Source organism: Homo sapiens, chromosome 20, assembly GCF_000001405.40.
Source record: "Homo sapiens chromosome 20, GRCh38.p14 Primary Assembly".
Taxonomy (NCBI): Eukaryota; Metazoa; Chordata; class Mammalia; order Primates; family Hominidae; genus Homo; species Homo sapiens.
In genome coordinates, this window is record NC_000020.11 from 3,339,056 (window position 1) to 3,364,128 (window position 25,073).

General features: G+C 40.4%; 1 protein-coding gene and 2 pseudogenes across 3 annotated transcripts in view; 1 reads left to right on the forward strand and 2 right to left on the reverse strand.

Annotated features, from left to right (window-relative positions):
- Positions 1-25,073, reverse strand: part of DNAAF9 (dynein axonemal assembly factor 9) — a 158,364-nt gene that overhangs the window by 89,750 nt on the left and 43,541 nt on the right. For all 3 annotated transcript variants that reach the window (XM_005260684.5, NM_001009984.3, XM_047440081.1), the window contains exons 7-10: positions 20,461-20,538; positions 9,470-9,568; positions 4,621-4,676; positions 1,449-1,584 (exon numbers count right to left, since the gene is read on the reverse strand). In XM_005260684.5, the coding sequence (XP_005260741.1) occupies positions 1,449-1,584; positions 4,621-4,676; positions 9,470-9,568; positions 20,461-20,538 (369 nt within the window). The remainder of the gene's footprint in view (positions 1-1,448; positions 1,585-4,620; positions 4,677-9,469; positions 9,569-20,460; positions 20,539-25,073) is intronic.
- On the forward strand, positions 20,981-21,087 carry RNU6-1019P (RNA, U6 small nuclear 1019, pseudogene; annotated as a pseudogene).
- Positions 21,429-23,291, reverse strand: UBE2V1P1 (UBE2V1 pseudogene 1; annotated as a pseudogene).

Here is a 25,073-nt window from a genome sequence, read left to right on the forward strand (position 1 = left end):
GGATATGTCTGCTCTACTGATAAGCCCATTAAAGGTATGCTTTGCTTCTATTACAGTGCTTTTGAATCCTAGAATTTCCTTTTGATTCTATCTTCAAGTTTCCACCTCCCTGTTTACACTATTCATCTCTTCTTACATGTTGCCTATGTGTTCCATTAGAGCCTTTAACATTAATCATAGTCATTTTTAATAATCTGTATATTACAAAATATGAGTCATATCTGAGTCTGGTTCTGATAGTCGCACTGTCTCTTCAAATAGTGTTTTTTCTTGCCTTTTAGCATGCTTTGTAATTTTTTGTTGAAAGCCAAAAATGATGTATCAGGTAACAGGAACTGAAGAAACAGACTTTTAATGTGGGATTTTATGTTAATCTGGCTGGGAGTTAGGTTCTGTTTAATGTTTTCTGAAGCTGTAGGTGCCAGGGACTTCAAATCCCTCTAGTATTCTTCTATTTTTCTTCCCCATTTTTCTTCTTTGGGTTCCCTGTGAACTCCATCTTAGATGTACCTTGCAGCTCTGTCAGCAGTAACCCCCTATTATATTGTAGACCTCTGCTAAGGTAATGGGGGAGGGAAACATTCTATGATTTTACGGTTAAATCTCAGTCTTTTAGCAGGCCTGTGTCTCCAGGCTGTGATCATCAAAAGTGTTTCTTAGCTATTTCCCCCTCTCCTAGGGAAGACAGGAAGCCTACAGTGGCATGTGCCTGTGGTCCCAACTATTCAGGAGGCTGAGGTGGGAGGATCACCTGAGCCTGGGAGGTCAAGGCTGCAGTGAGCCAAGGCTGTGCCACTGCACTCTAGCCTGGGTGACAGAGTGAGACCCTGTCTCAAAAAATAAACAAACAAACAAAAAAACTAGTACCTACTAACCACAGCTTTCCTGATTGCCAGAGACATTTTGAAAATACTCAAAATTCCACTGAGATAGCATAGACTTTCACAATCTAAGTCTCATATTCAGGTCTAATGTTTTCTTTAAAAGAATGTAGCAGACAATCTGCCACCAAATGCAAAAATCTTCTCTCTGGCACTCTCAATAAACAATGATCATCAAGGTTGGCTTCTGTCCTTAAATGTTAACAGTCAAGGCATAACAAACTTAGGCTTGGAATAACTATCTTCAAATTATTTTGAATTTTAAAAATTCTATTGACAATATTACTCTGACAACTTAAAGACTGGTTTGTGAAACTACGTTCTTAACCTTTTTCCTTCAAGTATTTCAAAATTAAATGTGATGCTTTCAAATCATACCTAGTTTGTACTATAAAAAAAGTACAAACAGTTTCTAATCACTTCTTTTCACTCTAGAACAACTTCAAATTCAGGGTTAAATCAACACACTAACTGGAAAAGGTTCTTTTTGTCTAGCTCCCCCCACCCACCCCACCCCCACAACTTGATAATAAAACTAATCAAGCACCAGGCAGTCCAGCCACTTACCATGTGCTTGGCAAAGCTCCCGCCGGGACCAGTGCTTCGTACCAGATGTCCTTCAGAAGGGAAGTTAAAGTTGCCAGCATTCAGGTTTTCTCGTGTGGAGTGATTACCAAAGAGAACAAATGGCTGCCGGTTAGGGCTAGAGAGGGAAGTCAAAAACATGTGATTAGAAAAGAGTTCCTGGCCAAGGCAACCTTCCATGACCTTAATAAGTCCTCAGGCTTTTCTGAGGGACACTTGCGGCCTGAGCAAAGTGGTCAGTCAGTACAGTCGACCGAATATCCTTGGCTGGTTGGAAACGGATGCCAGCTGTCTCCCTACTGACCCACAGGGATCAGTTAACATTTAGGGACATAACTAAACTCAAGCTAGGTTTGTATTTTCAGCATGTCCCACTTTTTGAGGAATAAGTTCCATAAGCTTGCTGTCCATGATACAGTGATAGAGCAAAACTCCGGTATTATAAAATAGAATTTTAATAGAAATATGAGTCTTAAAGGATGACAGTTATGATACTTGGACTAGACAGACAATAGGGCAGTCACCAATTCCTGAGTAACTTTCAATAGGGAAGGAGCACAGGAGGGTTGCAAATTTTCTCAATACCACACATACCTGGCTCTGTACCCACCCCCTTCCTCCCTGTCCTCTTGGCTGAACTTTTCCTCTCCCCTACTTTCTGCTCACTCCTCAGCCCACTCTAATCAGCCTCCTCAGTCATTTCACCCAGAGAGTTCTTGCCAAAGTCACCAAGTGACTTCCATGTAGCATACAGCAAATCCAACAGATAGTCTTCAGGTCTTCCTTCCTTCCTTGGTCTCTGAGAAGCACTTGACTCCCTCCCACCCTCCACTGCAAGAACTGCAGTGCAAGACTGCACTCCCCTCAGTCTCCCCAGTCAGTCACCCTCCTCTTCCACCTGGTCTCCGAATAGTCCCAGGGTTTACCTGCAGCTTGCTGCTCCCTCCTCTCCTCTGTGATGATGTTCCCTATGTCTGCTCCCCTTCCAGTTCTTGCAGGAAATAAACGGCATCACAATCCACCCAGGTACCCAGCCATCTGAAAGGCCTCCTTGACTTCTGCTTCCTCCGCCTTCAAATCTAATTAACCTTCTCAAAAGCCTTCCTATTTAACCATTTTCTTCCATCTTCATGGCCACAACCTTAGTCCATGCTGCCATGATTTCTTCCCTGGACAACTGCAACACTTCCTCACTGTTTCCCTGTTTCCACTCTTGCCCTCCTATAATGGATTCTCTACATTGCAGTGATGATAATATATATACATATTTTTTTGAGACGGAGTCTTGCTCTGTCGCCCAGGCTGGAGTGCAGTGGCGCGATCTCGGCTCACTGCAAGCTCCACCTCCCAGGTTCACGCCATTCTCCTGCCTCAGCCTCCCGAGTAGCTGGGACTGCAGGCACCCGCCACCACGCCTGGCTAATTTTTTGTATTTTTAGTGGAGATGGGGTTTCACCGTGTTAGCCAGGATGGTCTTGATCTCCTGACCTCGTGATCCACCCACCTCGGCCTCCCAGGTGATAATCTTTTAAACGTGCCAATTTACTGCCTTTATGTTATTTTCTGGAGAAGGGCCACAATCTTGAACATGGCTAAAGAGAACTTGTATGATCTGGTGAACTTTCTCAGCTCCATAGAAGGCCACTCAACTCCAACTTCAATACTCCAGCCAAGATAATTTTCTCTGATGTCCCTTATGTTCTTGTCTCAGGGTCTCTGCTCTTCCTCCTACTCCCATTTATCTCTGTTCATTATTCAGCTCTCTCCTGCAGGGGGCTGGGCTCTCCTGTGATGGGCTTCAAAGTACTATGCTCTTTTCTCCTTCATGGCACCAATCAGAGTTGGTAATAACAGATTTCTTTGTTAAGATGTTTGATTAATGTCTTTTTCTCCACTACCCTATAAACTTTATGAGGGCAGTAATCATATTTGCTTCCTTTTTTTAAACCATGAATCTCTCTTGATTGGTATGTCGTAGTTCTCAGTGAATATTTGATGACTCTATCCTCTATCTTCTTCCTAAATTGCCCTCAGTGAGCGCCATGTAAAGAATTATTTGCATTTCTTTTCACTACTCTTAAAAATACTACCTTAAGCTACAGGCAAACAAGGCTTTTAAAAGTAAGCATGGCTGATTTTTTTTCTGAAGCTTAATTCAAGCTAGGTGACACTTTGGGCAGAAAAAGATGACTCTGAGTCCTAGCCAGGGTACTTTGTTTCACTATTAGATTGGATTGGAATTGGGGGAAGAAAAGAGAGAAGAAATGTCCTCTCTATCCATCAGAGGAAGTATCTCCTGCTGATCATGACAAAAGAGATGTGGGAGAAAACACTTTCGAACCCTCATTGAACCCATCTTCGTGGGGCTGGACCTTCACACCCTGATCCCTTTTACTGCCTGCAAGCCACTGTTGCTCCCCTGCCCAGCCCTCGGACTATGCATATGTCACATGCATAATTTGCAAATGGTTTCTCCCATTCTGAGGATTCTCTGTGTACTCTGATGATTATTTCTATTGCTGTGCAGAAGCATGTTCATTTGTTAGGTCCCATTTATTTATTTTCATTTGCTTCCTGTCATTTTCCTGAGCCAGGAATGAAATTAAAAATTCCTTTCTTTAGATTTTAGCAGACAACAGTGATTTATTTATTTATTTAGAAACAGAGTTTCACTCTTGTTGCCCAGGCTGAAGTACAATGGCACGATCTCGGCTCACTGCAACCTCCGCCTCCTGGGTTCAAGTGATTCTCCTGTCTCAGCCTCCCGAGTAGCTGGGATTACAGGCGCATGCCACCACACCTGGCTAATTTTTGTATTTTTAGTAGAGATGGTCAGCCTGGTCTCGAACTCCTGACCTCAGGTGATCTGCCCACCTTGGCCTCCCAAAATGCTGGGATTACAGGCATGAGCCACCGCACCTGGCTGACAACAGTGTTTCAAAAGCTAGTTTACTATAAAATAATAAAATAAAAATGAAAGCAGAGAAACAGACACATTTACAGAGTACAGATTTCTTACCCTGTGATAACTAAAGTCAACCCATATTTTCCTGACTCTAGCTTCTGAACTTGAATGCACCCCCACAGCCAACCCCTTTGCCACCTCCATTTTCTCTATCACCATTCGCCCTTCTTCCCCAAGAAAGAAACTTACCTGTTTTCAGTTATATGGCTAGAGATCATTCCATGACTGAAATAACTTCTGAATGGCTAAAAAGAAGCCAACATTGTATATATTAAGAACACAATTTGGTAAAACAGTCATAAAACCCCTCACATATGTATGTATGTACACACATGCTTCAGGAGAGTGCACAGCGTGTGTGTGTGTGTGTGTGCGTGTGTGCATGTGCGTGTGTGTGACAGAGAGAGCTACAGAAAGGGAGAGATGTTTGTAGATTATTATAAGAACATGGAAAGATGTGTACGGTTAATAGCAATATGAATTTTAGGAATAAGTGGCAAACAAAATAATACCAAAAAAGAAAAAAAGACAAAAACCTGCAAAAAGGAAAATAAAGAAAAAAATCCTTTTAATGTACAGTGTTTACTGCAAGAAAATTGGACCAATCACCATCTATGGTCCAAGTTGCTAATCATGTGGAGATTTTTTTAAAAAAATGTCTTCTACATTTCCAATACATTAATATATACAAATTCTGCTGTGCTAATCCAAGGAATTTCGAAATATACTGATGGAAGTTTCCTGGGAAATCAATGAAATAAGTCTCAGCTTTTGGATGCATAGTGTGAGGCTAAACACTAATCAAAACTTAACATGCATGCTCTCATGTCCAAAGAATCCAAAAATTCAAATGGTAATTTTAATCCCGCTAAATAATATTTACTGTTTTTTTTCTGATTAATATATGTTCATTGTAGAAGACAATAAAAACCACCTATAATGTCTAAAAACTATCAACATTTTGGTAAATTTTCTTCAAATCTTTTCTCTATGGTACATCATAGATAATATATGATTGCACTAAACTTTATTAAATAGTCTTCTGTTCATGGAAATTTATATTGTTATTAATTCTTCAATATAATGGAAAAAATACACACACATACACACACACACACACACACACACACACACACACACACACACACACACACCTCATGTAGTGAACTTAATAAATTTAATCTGCAGCTCTGATGATTTCCTTAAGGCAGATCTGGAAATGAAATCATAGAATAAAAAGGCAGAACTATGTTGCCAAATTGTTTTTTAAGTTCTATCCATGTACATGTCTACCTACAATATGAGTGTGCTTGTCTCATGGTCTCCTCATAAGCACTGCCTATGAAATGGTTTCAATATATCTGCCAAGTTGAAAAATGAAAAATGGGACCTCATTGTTTGTTGTCTTCTTTTATACCCCTTGGCATTTTTAATGAAGTAGAATATTTTAGACATGTTCAGTGGCTATTTGGATTTCCCTTCATTAGTTAACAGTTTATTTACATTCTCCGGATATTTATCAATTGGAGTGTTTATTTATTTATTTATTGAGGCAGAGTTTTGCTCTTGTTGCCCAGGCTGGAGTGCAGTGGCATGATTTCAGCTTACTGCAACTTTCGCCTCCCAGGTTCAAGCAATTCTCCTGCCTTAGCCTCCCAAGTAGCTGGGATTACAGGTGTGCATCACCACAGCCGGCTAATTTTGCGTTTTTAGTAGAGACAGGGTTTCACTATGTTAGTCAGACTGGTCTTGAACTCCTGACCTCAAGTGATCCACCCCGCCTGGCTCAATTGGAGTTCTGATGTTTGTCTTACTGATGTGTAAAAACTATAGATTAACATTATACTTAAAATTTATCGTGGGCTTACCATGTGACTGTGATAGGCACTTATCATCTCAAGCAATCCTAATAACAACCTATGAGCTTCATTCTATCATTTCCTCTCTAGAGATGAGTTGACAAAGATACAAAAGTTAATTTACTTGTCCAAGGTCACAGAGCTAGTGAACTGTATAGCTGGGATTCTAACTTGGTAATGATTTGAGGGAAAAAATAAAAGTAGATCCATATCTCACAACATATTCCCACGAATTACATTTGGATTAGGGATCTAAATGTAAAAATTCAAGCCATACAAGTGCTAGAGGGTAACTTTCAATTACAGCCTTTCCCTATATAATGACTCAAAATCCAGAGGCAATGAAAGAAAAGGCAGATCAATTTACATAAAAACAAAAATGTTTGCATGGCAAGAAAAAAACCCATTATAAACAAACCAACTGACAAATATGGAAAAAGTATTTGGAGTATATACTAGAGACAAAATGCTAATAGCCCAATTATATAACAAACTCTTAAAAACCAGGGCACACGGGAGGCGGAGGTTGCAGTGAGCCGAGATCGCGCCACTGCACTCCAGCCTGGCGACAGAGCGACACTCCATCCCAAAAAAAAAGCCAGGGGACAAAAAACCCTCCTAAAACCTATGCTCTATAGTTCAGTTAATAACTGTACTAATATTAAAATGGAAAAACAATATGTAAACAAAATATAAAATGGTCATCAAACATATGAGGGAATGTTCAAACTTACTAATACAGAAATGTAAATTAAAACAATACCGATATACTATTTTTCATCTGTGAGACTGAAAATTTTTAAAGTATGACAATACATTCTATTGGTGAAGTTGTGCAGCAACAGGCATTCATATAGTGCTGGTGGGAATGCAAACTGGTACAACCCTTCTGAAGGGGACTTTGGCAATAACTAACAACATGACATATGCACTCACCTTTTGACCCAGCAATCCCATCACTAGGTACGTATATATACCTCCAACAATAGGAACATACATAAGCGCTGAGTTATTTACTATGACTCTGTTTGTAATGGCAAAATATTAGAAACAACCTCATTATGTGCACATACAAGAGGGGCTGAATAAATTAAGACAAATCCACAAAATGGAGTACTATGAATTGTAACAAAGATCCCAATGAACTGACTTGAATATGTTTACTTTGTTAAGAAAACAAAGAAAAAAAAAAGGACTGCGAGAGAGTTCCAGGATATACTGTTAAGTGGAAATGACTATATGCTACCCTTCAATGTTAGAAAGGTGAGAATATGAGAAAATGCACATGTATTTGCTCATTTGTGCAAATGAAATAGAAAAGGTAAATGAGAAACTCAAGAGGTTTGTTACCTACTGTCAATGGAGTGGGGAAAATGGGTGGAAAGAAGAAGGCAATAAGAAAAGAGTAACAGGAAACGACAGTGACACTTCTGAGTATACCTTGTGGAATCTCTTTCACTCTTAGAATCATAGTAATAGAAGAAGAAAAAAGAACTCCCCAAACTGAAAAGGATAGACCACTGGAACAACTTCAAGTGGTCTAATGTAGAAGCAAATGGAGTCCCTCAAGGAAAGAAGAGAGGTTTGGAAAAGAAAAAACATTTGAAGAGTTAACAGCGAAACACTTTCCAAACTTAAAGGAAACTATAAATCTACAGACCTAGGAAGCTCAACAAAATCCAAGCACAAGAAACATGAAGAAAACTACAGCAAGACATACCATAATCAAACTACTCAAAATCAGTAATAAAGAGAAAATCTTAAAAGCTGCCAGAGGGGGAAAAAAAAAGGCCTGCTTATATTCAGAGATTAGAATAAAAGACTATGCTATGTACAAAGATTAGGATGAAGGACTTCTCATCAGAAATAATGCAAGCAAGAAGACACTGAAGCAAGATCTTTCAAGTATCAAAAGGTAAAAATTGTCAATCTAGAATCTAGACATGGCAAAAATATATTTCAAAAATGAAGGCGAAATAAAGATTTTTTTTCCAGACACTCAAAAGCTGCAAGAATTTATCATCAGAAGATTAATACCACAAAAAAATATTAAAGACCAACCTTCAAGGAGAAGGATGCCAAGGGGAAGTCTGGGTCTACACAAAGGAATGAAGAGCACCAGAGAGAGCAACAACATGGGCAAATATATTACACTTGACCTTAGCCAAAAGGCTGAGAAGCGATACACTGGCAAATATATAAGACTTTTTCCCTATTATTTAAATCTTTAAGAAAGGTAATTGATTGTTTAAGGAAACATAAGAGCATTGTATTGTGGAGTTTATAAAATATGTAAAGGTAGCCGGATGCGATGGCTCACGCCTGTAATCTCAGCACTTTGGGGGGCTGAGGCGGGCGATTGAGATCAGGAGTTCGAGACCAGCCTGGTCAACATGGTAAAACCCATCTCTACTAAAAATACAAAAATTAGCTGGGCATGGTGGTGTGTGCCAGTAATCCCAGCTACTTGGGAGGCTGAGGCAGGAGAATTGCTTGAACCCTGGAGGAAGAGGTTGCAGTGCACCGAGATCATGCCACTGCACTCCAGCCTGGGCGACAGAGTGAGACTCCATTTCAAAGGTAAAATGCGTAACAACAAAGATCAATTCCAGCTCCATACCATCAGCAGGAGGGCTTGCTCTGAGCCACAGGGGAGCACAGCAGAGTTGAGGGCTGCAGTGAGTGCCCAAGAAGGCTAGAATGCTAGCTTAGAAGGATTCCTTGGATCCTTCCTGCTGATTAGTTTTTGAGGCTGTCCTGTGTCTTGGTTGTCAATCTAGATACTTCAGGTTTACTCATGAGCCTGGTAACTGCTGACTAGCGTCATCTGCTTGGAAAGACATCTTGGCATTCATTATCTGGAGGTTATACTGACAAAGGTGTGCTACTCACATGTGGATAATTATTCCTACGTCTATTAACTGGTGCCCAGTAGAATTCCTGGCACCACCACACTGCAAAGCAAAAATCCTTCTAATGGAGAAGCTGGCACAAAATAAAAGACAACTTTTTATAAAGGGTTGGCATGGGGGGGAACTACTTTATGGTATACAACACAGCTTAAAGAAATGACAAATTAGAATTGATAGTGTTGTATTTTGAAAAAAATTTAATAAAAAATTAAAACAATAAATAAATTAACCATTTTATTCTTCCTCTTTGACCCTTCCCTTACATACCTCACCCGCCTGAGATTCTGAAAGTTCTAGCAGGAAAGGAATTTCTGTGTCAAAATTAGCGAAGAAGCTAGTCCACTGATGTTCAAAAGCCACCAAATCCTGGGAAAAAAAGGAAAAAGATAACGTGTTTGGTCATATAAAGGAGGTATTTTAGAAAACGAGAATTATGAAACTGTAACTTATCTCAAAACACCAGACCATTTATATATGTTATTTTACAAGGTAGTAGCAAACTACTAGTACATGCTACTCCTATGGATGAATCTCAAAAACATTATACCAAATGAAAAAGCTGGATGTAGAAAACCACCTGATATGTGGTCCAGTCATATGAAATATCCAGAAAAAGCAAATCTGTAGAGGCAAAAAGTAGACTAGTGGTTGCCTGGGGTTGGGATGGAGACTGACTGCAAGTGGGCACAAGGGAACTTTCTGGGCGATGAAAATGTTCTCTGTAAATTCACTAAAAATCGTTGAGTTGTACACTTAAAATGGATGAATATTATGGTACATAAATTATACTCCAAATAAAGCCATTTAAAAGGATAGCTAGGAGCAGTGGTTCACATCTGTAACTCCGGAACTTTGGGAGGCCCAGGTGGGAGAATCACATGAGCCCCAGGACTTCCAGACCAGCTTGGGCAACATGATGAGACCTCGTCTCTACCAAAAAAAAAAACAAAAAAAAAAAAAACACCATGAAAAAAACGAGCTGAGCTTGGTGGTGCGCACCTGTTGTCCCAGCTACTCAGGAGGCTGAGGCGGGAGGATTGCTTGAGCCCAAGAGGTCCAAGTTGGAGTGAACTGGGATTGTGCTGCTACACTACAGCCTGGGTGACAGAACGAGACTCTGTCTGAAAAATGAATGAATGGACAGTAATGATCCTTAAGCACCTTATTTTAGCAACCCTGTTGGGAGGAATTTATTTACAGGGCACCTAAAGGATGGTACCATGTCCAGTGCCAAAAGGGTCACATCTGAGCAGCTTTGTTGAAGGACTGGTTGACTTTAGTTAAAGGGAAGGGTGGCACAGAGCCCTCTCCTTCCTTATGCCCTCTTTCTAGTAGCCACATGAGCACTGAGAAACTGCACCCTTCTTAGCTGACTCTCCTCTACATACAGCCTCCATTCCCCATCCCAGCTGCTTTTTAGCATCCTTTCTGAACTCATTCTTATTCTCAAGCACTACAAATTGCTTTTTGCTATGGGCTTTTCTTGAAGGTTATCATCAATTAACAAAAAAACCCCACCAATTAGGACTTGCTTAAGATACTCCTCAAGTATTATCCTTGTCCTTATTTTGAAGTTGCTAATAATTTGTACTCAAATTGGACAGTCATCTTCCCTGTCCATTTTACACCATGGAAGGGTATGTATGTTAGTCGCCCAGTCTAGTGCCTTGCTCATAGCAGGCATTCTGTTTGCTGCACCAAAACTCACTGGCCAGATCTACGCCCTCCTCCTCTCAAGGATACACAAGTACTCAGACCTCTGTGCTAGCCAAGTACTGACTCTACTTCTGGCCCTAGACATAAAGCACAAGGCAACACTGCTGGGAAGACAATGTAAACATTGTCTACTTGCTGCCCAGACTATCAGACACACAGACACACAGACACACAGACACACAGACACACACACACACACACACACACACACACACACAAATTCTGGCCAGGTATGGTGGCTCATGCCTGCAATCCCAGCACTTTGGGAGGCTGAGGGGGAGGATCATTTGGGCCCAGGAGTTCGAGATCAGCCTGGGCAACATAGTGACACCCCATCTCTACCAAAAAAATTCCTTTTAGTCATCATGTAGGTGACAGTGCTGATAGTGTTTTCTGAGTATGTTTTATATATAACGTAGGATAAAACAAAAAAAAATGTGTGTGTGTATACAGGTATCTTATCTATCTATCTATATATACATACATACACATATTAGGAGGAGGGAGACAGAGAGAGAGAAAGAGACAGAAAATATTTCCTAGCTCTATCTACTGAAGAGATTTAGAAACAATGGCCAAACCAGCAGCAATGAGTACTTCTAGCACTCAGATTGTGGTGCTGAAATACCACTTCTCATTCAAAGAAACCAGAACATTTTAGAGAACTGACTGAGAGTGGGTCTCAGACAGGAAATGTAAAGATAAGGCTGGGATATCTTAACATAGTAGCTGGCAAGGAAGTTATCAAGGACTATTAGTATTCTGTTAAAATAAGATTCTGTTAAATTGTGAAACAACTTGAAGGGAGTTCATTATCCAAAGATAGAAAAATTTGAGCGTCACTGAAGATGGTAGTAATTACAATGGATATAAACACATCAAATATGTTTAAATCTATGAGTTCAAAATACAATATACATATATACAATATATTTATGTATATATATACAATTGGAGTAACACCATTGTGCAATGGTGAATTGAGGATCTAATTAATGAATTAAGGATCTAGGGATTACACATCCATTGCTGTTCACAAAACAAAAAGAGAACCAATTAGACATTATGTGCTTCTTGATAAAGAATATAACACCCTGTAGGAAGTAGTCTTTTCTCCAAAAATCAACCCTGAAACTGATTAAACCTCTAGATTCAATTACCAATGATCAGGATAAACAGGAGACAGGGGAAAATGTTAAACTACATCATGGGAATACAATTAAGAAAATTTCAACTGGGGCAGGTGCAGTGGCTCATGCCTGTAATCCCAGCACTCTGGGAGGCTAAGGCAGGCCTTAGCACCTTACTAAGACCAGCCTGGCCAAAGTGGAGAAACCCCGTCTCTACTAAAAATACAAAAATTAGCCAGCCATAGTGGCATGCACCTGTAATCCCAGCTACTGGAGAGGCTGAGGCAGGAGAATCACTTGAACCTAGGAGGTGGAGGCTGGAGTGAGCCAAGATCATGCCACTGCACTCCAGCCTGGACAACAAGAGTGAGACTCCATCTCAAAAAAAAAAAAAAATTTCAACTGATGGCAACTATAAGACAAATGATCTGGTTTCTTCAACAGACAGCTAGGGGGCAGGGGGACAAAGAGATAGAGAAAACCTACAGATTAAAAGAAACCGAAAACACACACATGCATACAGGGCAGGCAAACAAAACTAACCTATGTTTATAAAATCACATTTGGATGATAAAATTGCAAAGAAAAGTAAGGAGATGACTACCATAGAATTCACGATAGTGTTATTCTTGTGGGAAGAGGAAGGAGGTAATGGAGGTTCTGTTGCTTTGCTTTACAATAAGTTATTAGATTGTACATCAGTTTTATGCTATTTTCTGAGTTTGTGTTATTTTATTTATTTATTTATTTATTTATTTATTTTGAGACAAAGTCTTGCTCTGTCACCCAGGCGTGATCTCAGTGGCATGATCTCAGCTAAATTTTTTGTATTTTTAGTAGATATGGGGTTCCACCATGTTGGCCAGGCTGGTCTCAAACTCCTGACCTCAAGTGATCTGTCCGCCTTGGCCTCCCAAAGTGCTGGGATTACAGGTGTGAGCCACTACACCTGGCCATCTATGTTATTTTAATAATGAAAAGTCTTTAAAAGCAAATGCATAAGTATTATTTGTTCATTACAGAAAACAGAATAAGAATCACTGTAAACACTTTGGGAAATGTTCTCTCAACTTATTTTTACATAGTATTTTGTATATAGAAATGCGCATGTACTTGTAACTGGTAATCTGCAGGGTCCTGGGTTAGAATGCTTTGCCATACCACCTCTGTGCCTCGGCCCGATAAACCAATCCTTTTGGGTCTGGGTTTCTGACTCCCTGCTATCAGGTCCAATCAGTGCCCCTGTATCCTGGGCCCAGGGCAATCTTTCCACTTTGGCACTGGGTTATCCCCTTCTGGACTCTGGAGATAAATACACTTCTAGCGCTGCCAACTAACACTTTAACCACAGACCTTCAATGTCTGTCTGACCTCTCTGGTCCCAGATCTACTCTCCTTTTCCAGTTGGCTGTCATTCACATTCCAGCAGTTAAAGAACGTTTCAATTCAGAAAAACCTGTGCTTGAATCTCTGCGTCTTACTGGCTGTGTGACCCTGGGCAAGCAACTTAACCTGAGCTTCAAATGCCTTATATAGCTGGGATGACTACTATCTACCTTGCAGAGATATTACAGGAATTAAGTGAAATAACCTGTATCAAGTGCTTATTATCAGACCTTGCACACTAGGTATCTTCAGTACTGCCTCTACTGCAGGTCGGCCCAAGGCTGGCTGTGAGAAAGATGGTAATTGCAATGGATATCAACACATCAAATATGTTTAAATCTATGAGTTCAAAATATTTATATATATATATATATGCATAAATATATATTTACATGTTATATATATATGTAAATTCCATATGAAATAATTCTATATGAAATGTTATTTTATGTATATTATCCTTTTAAATCTTCCTGACATCTTTGTTACTTCTCTATGCCCACTTTACAGAAGAGACTGAGGCACCAAGCAATAAAGTGACATATCCTCAATATGTAAATATATGTATATATAACACATTATATATAACATGTATACAGATGTTATATAATATATACAGATATATATAACATATATATAACATATGTGTATATATATGTAAATAAATATATACATCTGAGCCCTCCCCACAACATCCTGACATTTGTCTGCTCTCTCTCTCTGATACTCATAATGCACATCACTGGCCTCAGGGAAGCTGTGCCCAAAGCCACCCATCTCAGAGTGCATCTTTGCCTTGCTTACTTGGCTCTGTCCAACCTCTTCAGCTTTACCAGAATGCTTCACTTTGTGAGACTTTAAAAAAACAAAAAGGGACCGGGTGCGGTGGCTCATCCACTTTGGGAGTGGGCAGATCACCTGAGCCCAGGAGTTTGAGACCAGCCCGGGCAACACAGCAAGGCCCTGTCTCTATTTAAAAAACACAAAAATTAGCCAGGTGTGGTGGCAAGTGCTTGCAGTCCCAGCCTCTAGGGAAGCTGAGGTGGGAGAACCACTTGAGACTGGGAGGCAGAGGTTGCAGTGAGCCGAGATAGCACCACTGCACTCCAGCCTGGGTAATAGAGTGAGACCCTGTCCCCCCGCACCACCCCCCCCCCCGCAAAAAAAAAGGCTATTAATACAGAACACACTGTGTTTCAATTCTATTAGAAACAGACTCAGGAGGTATATTTCCACTTAAATGGCCTGCCTGGTGACACCCATTTTGGTTTGGGTCTATGACAGGAAGCAGTCACACAGTCAAGCAATACCAATTCTCTGCTAACTTGTAGGTGAAAAACGCAGTGTGCTTTAGGGGTTACAGAGAAGAAGATAGGCACTTTGTTACCCAAAAAACCACCCCTGAGGGAGGTGGATATGTCAGTACTAATTATAGAATAAGGTAGAATGAATCATTAAGTGCTGCTTTTAGCTCCATGCACATTCTATTTTTCCAATGCAAGATGCAATGACTCTTATTAAAAATCACCAGCATTCTATATGAAATGTTATTTTATGTATATTGTCCTTTTAAATCTTTCTGACATCTTTGTTACTTCTCTATGCCCACTTTACAGAAGAGACTGAGGCACCAGGCAATAAAGTGACTTGCCTGAGGATTCAAGACTAACAAGCAGCAAAAGCAGAAAAATATCTAGACAAAAGATACCTAGAACCTGTGTGCTTTCCGCTAGACATGCTATTCTCCCAACTTTTCCCCAACATAAACACTGCATTTGTGGAAATGGATACTGTTGTAAGTAAGTGGAACTGGTCAGGTGGATGGAAAGTTTATCATTCAGATTCTTCAAGGCCAAATCCAGAAGAAAGATGCAACAGAGGTCAAGAACCATGCCACTGTGCCTTGGCCCTTAGCCAGAGGACAAAGATACTGAACTTCAAACAGAACTCCTGGCTCTAGGCTGGCATCCAGCAGAGGCAGCTCTTGGGTGGCTCCAAGTCCATATTCATTGTACCATCCTCAAGTTAGGCAAGGACCGGCTTAAATACCAGTGAGGGCAAAGCAGCCACATTTGAGCACCTTCTCTCAAAATTCAGCAGAGGACTATTCTGGCACTTTCAGAAAGCCTCCTTCTCTCTCTGTCTAGAATGTTCTACCACCTTCTCCCCTTTCTGGAAAATCTCTGATTACCACACATGACTCCTCTAAGAAGCAATCCTGAGCACTTCCAGGCAGAGTTGTCACCTTACTTTATTATTTCCAAATACAGTTGAATCTGGCTCTCAGCCTTTACTCTTCAGGATGGATGAGAAGTCCACTATCACACATCAAAAGGGCTTCCTTCTCCTTCCCATCACCTAAGAATCAAGCTCATAGAAGTCAGAAAACTAGGAAAGAGCATGTTCTACAGCCCATGGTGATCACCACTGTTGCTGCTTCAGCTGCATGATGTCGCTGCTGTTCCAGGTGCAATTAAAGATGCTCTCCCGAGTGGACCCTCTCCACTGACTCTAGGGACACTAGCAATGTTCTTAAAACTACAGTGCTATTCTGGCCTCTATGTGTGACCTGCAGTATCCTCAGTTGAGGAGACTGCATGCAGATACTACTAAATTACCTGTCTCTCTTCTTTATCTGTGGTTAAATGGTCTTCCTAATTCTTACATTCTCTGTATATTTGTGCATTTTCACTTTTTTTCATAATTAGGTTCGCCAGGGGATGATGATGTTTTTTCAAAAACCAAAAATTTCTGATGTTATTTTTCTTTTACATTCTTCTTTAATTATAAATGTTTAAACAGAGGTTGGGTTTGGTGGCTAATGCCTGGAATCCCAGTACTTTGGGAGGCCGAGGCAGGCAGATCACCTGAGGTCAGGAGTTTGAGACCAGCCTGGTCAACATGGTAAAACCCCGTCTCTACTAAAAATACAAAAATTAGCCAGGCATGGTGGCACACACCTGTAGTCCCGGCTACTCAGGAGGCTGAGGTATGAGATCACTTGAACCCAGGAGGTGGAGGCTGCAGTGAGCTGAGATTGTGCCACTGCACTCCAGCCTGGGTGACAGTGAGACTGTGTTTCAAAAAAAAAAAAAGAAATTTTTAAATAGAACAGATGTTCAATGTTATCAAATGCCTTTTTTTAGCATCTATAGAGTCATTACAAAAGCCTCCAAGAGGAAAAATTCATATAGCAATTACACTAGTAGATTTCCAGATATTGAACTAAATATAGAACCTTTAATAAACCCTACTTCATAGAATATTATTTTAATATGACACTAGGTTCTGTTTGCTAATATTTAACTTAAAATACTGGTATCAATATTCATAATACTGGTCTGTAGTTTTCATTTTCTTTAGTTTCTTTTTATTGAGTTTTGATAACAGCTAATTTCTCTTTTTTTTTTCAGATCCAGTGCCGTCTGAATTTTTGTTTTAAGCTAATTTCATTAAAAGTTTGCAAGATGTTCTTTTTCAATGCTGTCTGGTTTTAGTTCATCACTACATTAAAACGTTTTAAGGGTAGGATCTGAACTTTTATTTATTTTTTTAGACAGAGTATCGCTCTGTTGCCCAGGCTGGAGGTGTGATCTTGGCTCACTGCAACTTCCATCTCTCGGGTTCAAGTGATTCTCCTGCCTCAGCCTCCCAAGTAGCTGGGATTACAGGCATGTGCCACAATGCTCAGCTAATTTTTGTATTTTTAGTAGAGATGAGGGTTCACCATGTTGGCCAGGCTGGTCTTGAACTCCTGACCTCAGGTGATCCACCTGCCTCGGCCTCCCAAAGTGCTGGGATTACAGGCGTGAGCTGCTAATCCAGCCCAAATTCAGAGCCTGGTTTAGAGCCCGGCCAGATCTGAACTTTTAAATAGCTCTGAAACTATATTTGAAGGTTTTAGGAGAATTACGAAATGTGTTCCTGGTAATTTCTCTGCCTTTTTTCAATTGGTTATTTTAGATTTTCTATCTATCCTGGGGCCTATTTTAATTAACCTTTAACCAAATGTGTTTGCATTGAAATGATGCAATTACTTTCTTATGACTCTTAACTTCCTTGTACCTATCATTGCCCTCTTTTCTCTTTTGAAATTTCTGCTTTTTCCCTTTTTTTTCTTGTTAGATTAGTTTATTAGTGAGGTTATTGCTTACAGGTCTGCAGGCTGGCTATGGCTCAGCTGGACTGTTACAGTCTGTTCTATGTATGTCATTTCAGGACCCACACATAAAGCAGCAACTACCTGAGAAAAGTTCTCACAGCAAGAGTATAAGAGGCCAAGAAAAATTACACAAGAACACCGAAGGCCTCTGGTCAGACATGTCATGTTATGACCAATCACCTTCCATATGACCAGGGCCAACATCAGTGTAACAGGAAAGAATAACCACTGTCAACTATAACAAGGGCATGAAGGGAAAAAAAAAGGTATGAAAAAATAATATAACCTACCACAATTAAGCTAATGGTTTCTCTATTTCATTATTTTCAGGTCCAAAGTACCAGTGCTGGGATTATTTATAAATTCCTATGTTCTATTTCATTATTTTCTGCTTTCCATGCAGTGAATTCTTTCCTTACTCTTTTCCCCTTCTTCACTTGGCTACTTATTTTCAATTAAAAATTTCTTACAAGCACTCCTTTAGCTGTTTTTCAAATACTCTGATATGTAGTGTTTTCATTACTTAAATTATTAGTGAGGCCAGGTGTGGTGGCTCAGGCCTGTAATCCCAGCACTTTGGGAGGCCGAGGTGGGCGGACCACTTAAGGTCAGGAATTCAAGACCAGCCTGGCCAACATGGCAAAACCCCATCTCCAGTAAAAATACAAAATTAGCCAGGCGTGGTGGCACGCGCCTGTAATCCCAGCTACTTGGGAGGCGGAGGCAGGAGAATCACTTGAACCTGTGGGGGTGGAAGTTGCAGTGAGCCAAGATCGCACCACTACACTCCAGCCTGGGCGACAGAGTGAGACTCTGTCTCAAAAAAATAAATAAATAAATAAATATTACCGAGTGCTAGTGTTTACCTTGTTAACTAATGTAAAAACTTTAATGCTCAATTTTCTTAATCTCTGACCATGTTCAGTAATAAAATTAGTATACTTCTTTTTCCTAATCCCTCCTTCCTCACCCATCCAGCTTTATCTTTTACTGTTCATTTCATTTTGTATTGTTATTTATATCTTTATTACTTAATTTTTCAGGTTTTTTCTTTTTTTAGACAGAATCTCGCTGTTGTTGCCCGGGCTGGAGTGTGGAGCGCAATGGTACAATCTCGGCTCATTGCAACCTCTGCCTCCCGGGTTCCAGCAATTTAAGACCACTCTGGGCAACACAGCAAGACCTGATCTCTACAAAAAAAATAAAAAATTAGCCAGGTGTGGTGATGCACGCCTGTAGTCCCAGCTACTCAGGAGGCTGAGGTGCAAGAATCACTTGAGCTCAGGAGTTCAAGGCTGTAGTGAGCTATGATCACCGCTGCACTCCAGCTTGGGAACAGAGCAAGACCCTGTCTCTAAAAATATATATATTTTTAAAATAAATAAATAAAATAAAATTTGGGTGTTATATTTTTGTTCTTGAGGATTTTATTATAGGTATGTTGCTTCATTTTTTTTTCTGCTATGGAGAAACTCAAGGCCACCCTGCATTTTTCTACTTTATCTGTACCTGGATGCCAACGCATTTTATTGTTTTCTGGGGGGATTTAGGGCTTGAGGGGAAGTCTATTAACTTTATTAGAATATGTCTCAGTGTTGACCATTGTGGGACAATTTTCTCTGGGGCATGGTATACCCTTTTCTTTTTTTTTAGATGGAGTCTTGCTCTGTCACCCAGGCTGAAGTGTAGGGGCATGATCTCAGCTCATTGTAACCTCCACCTCCTGGATTCAAGCGATTCTCCTGCCTCAGCCTTCTGAGTAGCTGGGATTACAGGCGCGTGCCATTGTGCCTGGCTAATTTTTGTATTTTTAGTAGAAATGGGGTTTCACCATGTTGGCCAGGCTGGTCTTGTACTCCTGACCTCAGGTGATCCACCTGCCTCAGCCTCCTCACACCTGCTGGGATAACAGGCGTGAGCCACTGTGCCCAGTCTGCCCTTTTGAATACGTAGATTCAAACCTTCCGTTCTTTCAAGGAAAGACAATTTTTGAAACTGTATCTTTTCCTTATTATTCTTTTACTTTATTTTCTCAGCATGCCCACTCAAAGGGCCTAAAACCAATGTCCCCACAGAAGCAAGAAACATACCTAATGCCCAGATCTTGGTTGTTAAATATTGTTCCTCACTAATTGTACTGAAGCTCTTTGGTGAAATGGCTAATTCTAAGTCTGTGACCATGCATATCTATCTATGGCCACTGAGAGACACCACTGACCTGCCTAACCAGAGTACAGAGTCCTAAAGCTTTAGTTCTGTTTGTTGCCGCTCGTTGCAAATTTCCCCCCGATCCTGATATAGACAGGCCGTGTATTTTTGTAAATAGTTTCCTGGGAGCACAGACATACCCATTTGTTTAAACACTGTCTAGAGCTGTTTTCATGCTACTATGGCATTGTTAAGTAGTTGCCACTGAGACCATAAGGCACACAAAGGCTAAAATATCACTAACTAGACTTTCACAGAAAAAGTTTGCCCCCCGGGCTCTAATCCTTGATTCCTTTAAGCCATAATCTCATCTTTCTATCTTTTCATGCCAGAGAAAGCCTTCTGCATTGTTTTTCTAAAGTCCAGTCCAACAGAAAGAATGCCTTTAGATAAAAACCTAAACCTAAAGGCCAGGCAGGAGGCCCTGGTTTTGCCTCCAGTGAAGTCACCTCAGAGTGGAAGAGGGAGCAGTGTCACTTTGCCAGGTTCCTTTATACCCCCAAGGAATTCAAGACAATAATCAAGGAAGAAACTGCTCTATTTTTTGACCGAAGCAAACTAAAATATCCTTTGCATTTCTTCAAATTAAAGATCACTAGCAGGTAACTGAGCTGGACGTAATACTAATATTTAAAAGTTACTGTTTGGCTCCTTACATCTGAAAGCAAACTCTCCAGAGACATAGGATCCATCTTGCTGTAGACATTCCATAGATTCAAACTCACATCCTGCAACTGCAACAGAGGGCAAAAACATTGAAATAATTAAGTCAATATCATTAGGACAATCAGAATTATTTTCTGATGTTCAGAAATGACTCTTTTGGTATAAACTAGTGTGAACAGAATAATAAATCAAAAATTTATCAATTATATTTGCCCTATACATATTAATAAATGTTTTACCATACAAGGAAACTATTTTTTCAGAAACTTTGGTACTGATTATCTTCAATAATGGGCACATATATATTTATACATACACACATGCACATACAGACTTGTGTATATTGTATATTTTTTGCCTTTGTTTTAAATAAAATTTTAATCAAAATAATCCATGTCCATGGCTTTAAAAATCAAATGGTACAGAAGGCTTATAATAAAAAATGGTAATCCCCAACTCCAACCTTTCCCAAACCCCCACTAGTCTCACTCCTCATAAACAAACACTTAGGTGCTCCCTTCAGCAGCACATATACTAAAATTGGAAGGATACAGAGAAGATTACCATGGCCCCTGTGCAAGGATGACATGCAAATTTGTGAAGCATTCCGCATTTTCAAAAAATAATTTTTTTAAAAAAGAAGCAACCACTTAGAACTCACTTCATTTTATTTTTGGTATTTACCTCCAGTTTTGATACAATATGCTTCTATCACTATTTTTTGATTTATCAATTTAGAAACTAAATATTGACTTCTGGCAAAGATGTAGTTCTTCTACACCCATTCCTATTCACAAACTGTTTCTTTCTCAAACTCTCGGACTCAAGTAATCCACCAACCTCAACCTCCCAAACTGCTGGGATTACAAGTGTGAGCCACTGTGCCTGGCCCCCAAACTGTTTACACATACATATCCTAACATCATTTAATATCATAATATGACTTTTTTAGTTTATTAATAATAACTTTTTTTACACAATGAATTGCTTTTATTTTGGTATGCATCCAAATTTCAGCATTTAGTGGTCCTGAACAGAAAGTGGAAAGACGCAGCAATTTGCCAGGAGGTCAAGCCAACCAATTTCGGGGATCTGCTGTGCACACCGGGTTCTTTCTTAATCCCTGCTGAGGATCTTGAGAAGCAGCAGCAGCACCAAAACCAAGGCATGCACCGGATTCAAGGTTCTTTTTGTTCCAGTTTTCAGATTCCAAACTAGACCCCAATGGATTGCAAGGATGACCATGAAAGCCCTGTTTAAAACTTCAATTTTTAAAAGCAAAAGCCATTACATGAAAGTAAAACAATTCAGAAGGATCACGTGTGCTTCCAAGTGTCTTCATGTGGCCTTTCTCCGAGTTTAACCACCAAGGACTCTGAGAGCTGGCAGGTCTGAGTAACCCTGGTGACTATTCTTTTCACCTTATCAAAACCTGAGCTAAAAACAACGCATCAGCCAATGACAGCAGAGGGTGGCAGGGCTGAGGACCCAATATTCATTTCCCAGGCTGGTGGAGAGTGAATAAGTATGGTTACAAAATTAAACAAGGGAGGTCAAAGACTCTTTCCAACCTTACCTGATGTCTTCTGGCCAAAGCAAGGAAGTCTCATGGAAGGTGTTGGGTGGTGATGGTGCAAAAAGGATCTTGAGGAGGGAATAAAAAGCAGCACCCCTCGATAAAGGTGGGGGAGAGAAGATATGGGGAAAGCTCTGAATTCCTCACCAAAGGCCAATCTCAGAGGTGAGTGGAAGGGTTACAATCTATGCTTTGGCCAAAGGTGGGAGTGGAGGAGTGTGGGGACAGGATGATGGCTTGGAAGGGGCATCATTTAAGACTTAAACCAGGGGTGCAGGCAAAGCACCCCACACACCCAGCAGTAGTCCCACAGGCTGCGACCTGAAGCCTTCACATCTACTCTAACAAGCCCCCCAGGCTAGACGGCTGTTGTTGCAGGGAAAGTGGGAGGTGGGAGGGTAAGGGGAGAAGGCAGAGACCCCAGGCCGTGTAATCAGCAGCAAAATGACTGTGTGATGTGTCTTTTCACAGTTGAGTTAGATGTGCCCCACCAGTTATGATGGTAATCAATTTAAACAGACTTTCTTGATCCCAGAAGTTCAACTACATGGACAGTGGCTACACTTGACAGGATGATTTGTTATAGCACAACTTATATATTTCAAATGGACAAAAAATTAGTATCATTTACAGTATCTTAACTTCCTTTGAATGGGAGCTTCCTTTCCAGTACTCTGAGGTCTACAAGACATATCTAGAAAATTTACTACTGAAAAATGAAGACTGCTTAAATCGAATGTTGGGGGGAAGGGGAAGGGCCTGTGGTTTTTCTTTTTGGTTAATTGCTCTAACACTGTCCTTCAGGTGGCTGAGGGAGTTTCATATTTTCTTTAGACATCATTAGGCGCCGAAACTCTTGCAGGACAACTTTGATGCTATATGAATTCTGCCATTTTGCTAGCACTGGTATGGCTCTTGGGTCCACCACTCCATTAGAACTATTAACTCCATTCATATTAATTTTTTGTTACAAATATTACAAAGGGGGGTGCTTCTGAGTATTTAGGTCCATATTCTATTTTAAGGCTGTATATTCGGTTTTCATAAATTGTTCCTGGAGGCCCAATTATCATCCCTGTCCATCTTGTAAGTGTCATGTCTTCGTAATCTTCTAGACCCCAGCTAACTGTGTCATCTCCTACTCCTTTCTGGCTTTCTTCGAGTTCTTCCAACAGTTGGAAATTGCAAGGGACTTTTACTACTGAGCCTGTGGTGGCTGCCATCTTGCACTGCTGTCGCTTGAAGCGGTTTATTAATAATTATTGTTTACAATGTTAAAACCATGTAAATATTATTTACTGCAGGCTAAGTACATTTTACATTCCAATTTGCTTTCTTATTATTATTCTTAGAAGTACTAACAGCTTCATTTTTTTCACCTGTATAATTTTTTTTTTACAAATCAATTCTGTTTTTTTTCTACCAGCCCCATCCAATTTGCCTACTCCAGGGTGTCTCAACAGTAACACTATTTTCATTTTGGGCTTGACATTTCTTTGTTCTGTGGGGTTGCCCTGTGCATTGTAGGCCCTCATTAGCTGCCTATAGCACCCGCCCCCGCTGCTCCAAATGCAAACCAAAAATATTTCCAAACATTGTCAAATGTCTAGGGGGAAGGAGAAGACAAATTCACCCCGACTGAGAACCACTGACTTAAACATATCAGAAATTCAAATTCCCTTTCTTCTTCTACCTCATTCTGGCTGGACTTTCACATTCTTTGACATCATCCTGGAGCTCTCAGTTGATGGATTTTGCTCTGCGGGTTACTTGTCTCCTCTTTCTTGGTTAACTACCCTTGTTTGATGGAACACATTATCCAACAGCTAAGAAAGGATTAATGCAGGCCAGGCACAGTGGCTCACGCTTGTAATCCCAGCAATTTGGGAGGCCGAGGCGGGCAGATCACCTCAGGTCAGGAGTTCAAGACCAGCCTGGCCAACATGGTGAAAGCCCGTCTCTACTAATAATACAAAAACTAGCCAGGTGTGGTGGCACACACCTGTAATCCCAGCTACTCGGGAGGCTGAGGCAGGAGAATCACTTGGACCCAGGAGGCGGAGGTTACGGTGAGCCAAGATCGTGCCATTGCTCTCTGGCCTGGGTGACAGAGTGAGACTCCGTCTCAAAAAAAAAAAAAAAGGAAATGATTAATGCAAAGCAAACTTTTTTGTTTTGTTTTGTTTTGTTTTTAGTTTTAAAATGTCTTTATTCTGGCCAGGCGTGGTGGCTCACACCTGTAATCCCAGCTACTTAGGAGGCTGAGGCAGGATAATCACTTGAACCCAGGAGGCAGAGGTTGCGGTGAGCCGAGACCATGCCATTGCTCTCCAGCCTGGGTGACAGAGTGAGACTCCGTCTCAAAAAAAATAAAAACTAAAAAATAAAAACGAAAAAAAAGAAAAAAAAAGATTAATGCAAAGCAAACTCTTTTTTTTTTTTTTTTTAGTTTTAAAATGTCTTTATTCTGGCCGGGCATGGTGGCTCACATCTGTAATCCCAGCTCTTAGGGAAGCAGAAGCAGGAGGACAGTATGAGCCCAGGAGTTCAAGACCTGCCTGGGCAATATAGAGAGACCCTGTTCTCCACAAAAAGGAAAACAAAACAAAACAAAAAGACATAAAATGTCTTTATTCTGTCCTCATGACTATGACTTTGGATTCTTTATTTTCTCTGCACTTCATCTTGGATAGTTTCTACTGCTATGGCTTCAAATTCACTCATCTTTTCTTTAGCATTATTCAATCTGCCATTAATCTCATCTAGTATATTTTTCCTCTTAAAAAATTCTCAATTATTGCATTCATTATTATCCAGTGTATTTCTCATCTTAGATATTGTAGTTTTCATCTCTAGAAGTTGATTTGGGTTTTTTTTGTTTTTGAGACAGGGGTCTTGCTATGTTCCCCAGGCTGGCCTTGAACTCTTGGGTGCAAGTGATCCTCCTGCCTCAGCCTCCTGAATAGCTGAGACTACAGGCACATGGCACTGCGCCCAGCTTTGGGTCCTTTTTTTGTATCTTCTATG